The 7621-nt window shown below is 50.0% G+C and overlaps 1 long non-coding RNA gene across 1 annotated transcript, besides 1 other annotated feature; it reads right to left on the bottom strand.

The window, feature by feature from the left end:
• Positions 1-6114: 6114 nt before the first annotated feature.
• Positions 6115-7077, bottom strand: LOC105369756 (uncharacterized). Its single transcript, XR_944926.1, has 3 exons — positions 6996-7077; positions 6622-6827; positions 6115-6424 (listed from the first exon to the last, which is right to left on the bottom strand). It is a non-coding gene; the product is annotated as an uncharacterized LOC105369756 (long non-coding RNA).
• Positions 6815-6864: an enhancer, noted in NCBI's record as "active region_6300". NCBI's record gives its function as "activates an Ori minimal core promoter by ATAC-STARR-seq in GM12878 lymphoblastoid cells {active_cell/tissue: GM12878}" and the evidence as "EXISTENCE:reporter gene assay evidence [ECO:0000049][PMID:35858748]".
• Positions 7078-7621: the final 544 nt, after the last annotated feature.

Below are 7621 nucleotides of genomic sequence, written 5' to 3'. Positions count from 1 at the left end.
CCCAGACTCAGTCGCCCGGTCCTGCCCCGGCCCCCAGCCCCCGGCCCCCTGCCCGCCTCTGCTCCCACTCCAACCCAGACCCCTCAACTCCAACTCCCGCTCAGCGTTCAGGTCCCCAACCCCGCTCTCAAACCACTTATGGCTTTAGTCTCCAATTATCTCGACCTCACTCCCGCCCGCACCCAGAGGGACTCTGGGCAGAACTCGGAGTGGGGCAGGACCGCCTGCGGTGGGGGGTGGCGACGATCTGACAGGAGCTGGGCCGCTGGCCTTGGTTCAGTGGAGGAAGGTGTCCTCTTTGGGTTTCTGAACCGGAGGGAAGACACTGGTCAGAGCTATCCAGGAAGATTCATCCCAGAGACTTCCAGGAACCCGGACTGCCAGGTTTCAAGTTAGCTCTAGCTGGAGGAGTGTCACCTTGGGCAGAGATCAAAGGTTCCTGAGATCTGCCCTTGAGGTCAGGAATTCCAGACCAGCCTCCAACATGGTGAAACTCTGTCTCTACCAAAAATACAAAAGTTAGCCAGGTGTGGTGGTGTGCACCTATAATTCTAGCTACTCAGGAGGCTGAGGCACAAGAATCGCTGAATTGCTTGAACCTGGGAGGAGGAGGTTGCAGTTAGCCAAGACTGGGCCTCTGCACTCCAGCCTGGGCAACAGAGCCAGACCACATCTCAAAAAAAAACAAACAAATAAAGGTTATTGAGACCTGTCTCCCTTTCACCTACAATTCCATCTACCTACTACCAATTCTAACTATGAGCATGTACTGAGCACCTACTGGGAGCAAGAAACTGTGCTGGATACAGGATAGGGATGAGTAAGGCCTTTCTGACAATGGGGTGAAGGTGAGCAATGTGTTAAGTATTACAAGGAGTCAAACAAGGGAGATCGTATGGATTTTGTGAGATAAGGGAAGGCTCCATGGAGGGGAGGAGATGACCTCAGCGGTAGAATTTGGTGAAGAGGCATTTCAAGTAGAGGGATCAGCCAAAATAGAGGCATGGATGCAGGTAAGCAGGGTATGTTTAGGAAATTGCTCAATGGTCTGATTTGCCTGCAGTTGAGCGTACATTTATGGCAGTTGTAGAAGATAAGGCAAGAGTGAAAATTGAGGCCAGATTGGGGTAAGCCTGGTCCAGCTGAGGAGTATGTGCCTTGGACCTTCAGGCTTGGGAAGAGGCTGGACTTCAGGTGAAGGGGAAAGTTGAGGAAGGGCGGGGTGTGGTGGGTCACACCTGTAATCCCAGCACTTTGGGAGGCTGAGGTGAACAGATCACCTGAGACGGGGACAAGCCTGGCCAACATGGTCCAACCCCACCTCTACTAAAAATACAAAAATTAGCTGGGTGTAGTGGTGCATGCCTGTGATCCCAGCTATTGGGGAGGTCGAGGTACAAGAATCACTTGAACCTGGGAAGCGGAGGTTGCAGCAAGCCGAGATCGCACCACTGCACTCTAGCCTGGGTGACAAAGTGAGACTCTGTCTTAAACAAACAAACAAACAAAAAAAAAAAAACAAAAAAAAAAAGAAAGAAAGTTGAGAAAGACCAGGGCAGTGATGAAAGCATCTGCCTAGATTTTTCTACAACCAAAGGGCTCTAGAGCTCTGGGACTGGTAGAGGAGGTGAGCTGTATGCAACAGTGGAAGGGCTGGCCCTATGAGGGTGGGCTTTACCATGCTGCCTGAGCCCCTTTGAGGTTGAATACACAGGAAGCCAATTTCTAAAAGCTCACCCACACTGCTAACATAATTGAACAACTTGACTAATGTGTTTAGCATATGGTTTCTGGGGCTTCTACCCCATACTAGCTATGTATGGGCAAGTTACTCAACCTCTCTGTGCCTTGGTGTCCTCAGTTATAAACTGAGGTTATTAAAAGTGCTTTTCATTAGCTGAGTGTGGTGGCACTCTCCTGTAGTCCCACTCCTGAACACTCTCAGCTGTTCAGGAGGCTGAGGTGGGAGAATTGCTTGAGCCCGGGAGTTTGAGGATGCAGTGAGCTATGATTGCACCACTGTACTCCAGCCTGGGCAACAGAGCAAGACCCTGTCTCAATAAATAAATAAATAAATAAATAAATAAATAAACAAACAAACAAACAATGTGCTTTTCTCTTAGAGTTGTTGGGAGGAGTAAATAATTCAATATGTAAAACACTTAGAACAATTGGCCAGGCACAGTAGCTCACCCATGTAATACCAGCATTTTGGGAGGTTGAGGTGGGAGGATTGCTTGAGCCCAGGAGTTAGAGACCAGCCTGGGCAACATAGCAAGACCCTGTCTCTCTCTCTCTCTTTTTTAAATTTATTTAATTAAAAAGAAAAAAAAATGAAAAGAAAAGAAAAAACAACACCTGGTACATAGTAGGTGATTAAGTGTTAGCTCTGATTATTATTTCTCCCTAGGGCTATTTTATTAGTGTTGGGGTATGAGAACAGGATGATGGGACAGAGAGAATTAGAAGTAGGGGAGGACGGCCAGGTGTGGTGGCTCATGCCTGTAATCTCAGCACTTTGGGAGGCCAAGGCCGGTGGATTATGATGTCAGGAGTTCGAGATCAGCCTGGCCAATATGGTGAAACCCCATCTCTACTAAAAATACAAAAATTAGCCGGGTGTGGTGGCACATGCCTGTAGTCCCAGCTACTCGGGAGGCTGAGGCAGGAGAATCACTTGAACCCGAGAGGAGGAGGTTGCAGTGAGCCGAGATCAGGCCACTGCACTCCAGCCTGGGCGACAAAGCGACACTCCGTCTTAAAAAAAAAAAAAAAAAAAAAAAAAAAGGCCGGGTGCGCTGGCTCACTCCTGTAATCCCAACACTTTGGGAGGCTGAGGTGGGTGGATCACGAGGTCAGGAGTTCGAGACCAGCCTGACCAACATGGTGAAACCTCGTCTCTGCTAAAAATAAAAAAAATTAGCTGGGTGTGGTGATGCATGCCTGTAATCCCAGCTATTCGGGAGGCTGAGGCAGGAGAATCACTTGACTCTGGGAGGCGGAGTTTACAGTGAGGCAAGATCGTACCACTGCACTCCAGCCTGGGCCACAGAGCAAGACACTGTCTCAAAAAAAAAAAAAAAAAAAAAAAGTAGGGGAGGAGGAGAACCAGGCAGCAGATGTCAGTAGAGAGGAGGGGGGAAACCTGGGGTGGGTATGGACAGCCCTTTTAATGGGTGAATGGTGCCTGGGTGAATAGTGCCTGGGTGAATGGTGCCCTGGCAGTGCTTGGGCGGTTAGAGTGTCAGTGCAGCACACCCCTTCCCCCAGAACTTACTCCATCTTTGCCTAAGGATAGAGTCAGCACCAGCTGCCAAAATTCTGGGCAAAAAAAGGAGAGAGACAAGAAGGGGAGGAGTGACTCCAGGTCTAGGGGCCAGCCCCTGGTGAGCCATATCTCAGACTGACCTTCCAGGGCTCTGTGGGTGGCACACTGGAGGCTCCCTGCTGCGAAAATGACTTCTAAATCTGGCTGTGTCTGCCAGCCAGCCTTGAGACAGAGGCCACAACCACCCCCTACCTTGGGACAGCCTCACTGGTCAGGAGTAGGGACAGCAGACACAGGAGGATGTGGTCAATTTGGGGCAGCAGACCTCAGGTTAGTGCAGGATCCTGCTACCCTCCCAATAGAGAGCTTCTTCCTAGGGAAGCCCCTTTCTGCCCTCCATGGGACCCAGTTAATATGGCTTTAGAGGAGTCAAGAGCCGTCTCTTTCAGACTCTCAGGGGAGGGCTGGGACTTCCCTAGATCAGCCACAAATAGGTAAGGAAACCGAGCCCCAGCATATAACTCTGGAATTTCAGAGTGTCAAGGTCAGGAGTGTGAGTGTGATGTGTGTAAGGAGGAGAGGGCCAGGAGAGATAACTGAACAAGAGGACGCAGGAAGTGTATAAAATGTGTCTATGGGGAAGAGGCAGCACTCACTCAGTTGTTCATTTGTTTACTCACTCATTAAACATATATGCCAGGTGCTAGGGACACAAAAGAGACTCAGGCATGCTTCCTCCCTTCAGGGAGCTCTCAAGCTAGGGTGTGTATGATATAGGGAAAGAGATGTGGAAGAGGAAACCCACAGTCATTGCAGTGCAGGAAGATGGCATAATATATGTTAATGAAAGCATTCCTGAGGGACCAGGGAGGATGAAAAGAGGAGCAGCTCCCAGACCATGACTTCTTATGGGGAGTGGAATGTATCTAGGCCTCTGGGAGACAAGTTGCTGAGGGTGCAGATGTTAGTGAAGGAAAGTTTGGCCTGGATACTGCCTCTGCCTCTGCATATCCTAGCATGGGGTGTGCTCCCTCCCTTGAAGCCTCTGGTGCTACCTGGGCTTTTTTAAAATTTTCTTTTCTTTCCTGCCACCCAGGCTGGAGTGCAGTGGTGCGATCTCAGCTCACTGCAACCTCCACCTCCCGGGTTCAAACAATTCTTCTGCCTCAGCCTCCCAAGTGGATGGGATTACAGCCGCGCACCACCACGCCCAGCTAATTTTTGTATTTTTAGTAGAGACAGGGTTTCACCATGTTGGCCAGGGTGGTCTCGAACTCCTGACCTCAAGCTATCTGCCTGCCTCACCCTTCCAAAGTGCTGGGATTACAGGCATGGGCCACCACATCTGGCCATTTTTTTTCTTTTTTCTTTTTCTGAGACAGGGTCTTGCTATGTCACCCAGGCTGGAGTGCAGTGGCACGATTACAACTTACTGCAGCCTCAGCCTCCCCAGCAAAAGTGATCCTTCCACCTCAGCCTCCTGAATAGTAGGAACCACAGGCACGTGTCACCATGCCGGGCTAATTTTTTTTTTTTTTTTTTTTTGGTGGAGACGGGGTCTCCCTATGTTGCCCAGGCTGATCTCAAACTCCTGGGCTCAAACGATTCTCCCATCCTGGCCTCCCCAAATGTTGGGATTACGGGTATAAGCCACTGCACTCAGCCTACATAGCCTTTTGTGAGTCCTTTTATGGATAGATTTTCCATTCATCCATCTATTCATCCATCCACCCACCCATCCATCTATACATTCCACATCCACTTATCCACCCATCCACCAACCTATTTGTCATCTATCTGGCCATTTATACTTTTTTTCTTCTTTAAGACAGAGTCTCACTCTGTCACTCAGGCTGGAGTGCATTAGTGAGATCTCTGCTCACTGCAGCCTCCGCCTCCAGGGTTCTAGCGATTCTCATGCCTCAGCCTCTTGAGTAGCTGGGATTACAGGCGCCCACCAACATGCCTGGCTAATTTTTGTATTTTTAGTAGAGACAGGGTTTCACCATGTTGGCCAGGCTGGTCTCAAACTCCTGACCTCAGGAGATCCGCCTGCCTTGGCCTCCCAAAGTGCTGGGATTACAGGCATGAGCCACCGCGCCTGGCCCCATTTATACTTCCATCGATTTATTCCTCTGTCCGTGCATCCATTTATTCATGTATCCGTCTATTCACCATTTAACAAAGGCATATGATATGCCCAGGTCAGTGCTGCAAGGGCTAGCCTAGTAGGAGGATGAGTAATATACACAGACAACCACCAATGGGACACCCAGTATGTGCTGCTAATGAAAGCACCTACCTACATGGTGCTTCAGGAGCTAGAACAGGCAAGACCACTCTACCAAGGGAAATCAGAAGAGTCTTCATGGAGGAAGGAACATCTGAGATGGGTTCCAACAGTGGGATACAGGGAAGGGGGACATTCTAGGATGTGGGAAAATGCAGAGAGGTGGGAAAATGCAGAGAGGTAGGAAAACACGTGGCTTTCACAGGGAGCAGAGGCATTAGGGAATGCAGTGGGGCAGAAGAGTGAGTCCTGGAAAGATGTGTGGGAGCCAGAACTTGAAGTATTTCTTGTCTTTTTTGCTTTTTGGGTTTTTTTTTTTTTTTTTTTTTGATATGGAGTCTCACTCTGTCACCCAGACTAGAGTGCAGTGGTGTGATCTCTGCTCCAGTTCCTGGGTTCAAGCGATTCTCCTGCCTCAGCCTCCAGAGTAGCTGGGATTACAGGTGGGCGCCATAACTCTTGGCTAATTTTTTATTTGTATTTTTAGTAGAGACGGGTTTCACCATGTTGGCCAGGCTGGTCTCGAACTCCTGATCTCAAGTGATCCGCCCGCCTCGGCCTCCCAAAGTGCTGAGATTACAGCTGTGAGCCACCATGCCCAGACTGTTTCTTGGTAATGAAGATAAACCATTTGCACTTCGGTGAGAGGAATTGAGGGAGAGGTGAATGATGGAGTTTTTGAGCTGGGAATGTTCTAGTGCCTCCTCAACACCTGGATAATTTTTTTTCCTGCGGCTTGATCGTAACCTCGTTGGTCTTGTTACCTTGTGGAATCCCCTGCTGGACCATGAGCTGCTGGAGGTGATTTAGCTGATTTAGCTCTGTATACCCGACAAGTTTGGCGTGGAGCAGGCTCTCAGAAAATGCTGGAATAAAGAAGGAACAAATGATAAAACTGTGCCACAGGACCGCTGGCATAACAATGCAGTTCAGACATACAGGAAGAAGGATGGCTGCAGCCCGGGGTGATACCCTGCTCCTGAGAGATGACCCTGCCTTCTTGGCTAGCGTCTCTCCAGGAGCTCTCCCAAGAGTCACCACAAGGTGGCGCTATCCCCACTACCGCTCTGAGTTCGGCCAGGGTCTGTCGTGTCAACAGCTGGTGAAGTGCCCACCGCTGACCGTCCAGGGATGGTCTAGACATCTCCTTCCAGCAAGTCCTGAGAGAATGAGGAGCCTGAGTGCAGCTGTGGAAGAGAATAGCTCACAGATCCCAGTTTTAAAGCAAGTGCCGGCTTCATCTGTATTCATCCATTCACTTGACGGTGCCTATTACGTGCAAGGTACAATGTTAAGCTCTCATAAAAGCAACAGTGACCAAGACACAAAGACATAGTTCTTGCCCTCAAGGAGTTCACAATCTAGTTCTGCCTAAATCTTCCTTTCTTATCTCTCTCTCTCTCTCTCTCTCTCTCTGTCTTTCTTGTACACACATACCTGCTCCCCAGGGCCAACCACCTTGACCCAGAAAGCTGTCTCCACGTGAAATCCGCTCTTTGGAACTCTTGCCCCTCCAAATCCAAGTTTCTCCCTGAAGTTGCTGCATGGCCACATTAGTGTGACCCCCGGGAATGCTGTGACTCTTGACTGCTCCTTCTTGACTTGGCTCCTTTTGCTCTTCCCCTGACAGAACCTTTCCTGCTGTCTCTCTTAACATCTCCCATCACATCCACAGCCACTCTGCCAGCACTGGTAGGTTTAGGGACCTCCCCAGAGTAGGCCTGGTACAGGCTAGAGCCTCTTAACACCCTAGAGGCTATAGGGACATGAGGATGGATCTGCAAAAGCACCTTGTGAGACCCTGGTGTCATGCATCTGGAGATGAGGAGTTGGAGAGTCCAGAAAACCAAAGTCCTCAGAAACAGGTCCCTCTCTGGCCTGAGGGCTCTGCCAGCCAAATCCATCCCCTGGCAGAGGCTGCCTTCTTTTCTCACCTTCTCTGGGGGGACCAGGAGACAGCTCTGTAGTGATGGCTATGGGAGACGCCGGTGGGGAGGTGAGGCATTGTGGGACGCTGTCCACTTTCCCAACATGCTCCAGGGCCCATCGTAGTCCTTGGCGGG

This window comes from Homo sapiens, chromosome 12 (assembly GCF_000001405.40).
Source record: "Homo sapiens chromosome 12, GRCh38.p14 Primary Assembly".
Classification (NCBI taxonomy): domain Eukaryota; kingdom Metazoa; phylum Chordata; class Mammalia; order Primates; family Hominidae; genus Homo; species Homo sapiens.
The sequence above is the reverse complement of the archived record's forward strand: the minus strand, read 5'-3'. Positions and strand labels throughout refer to the sequence as shown.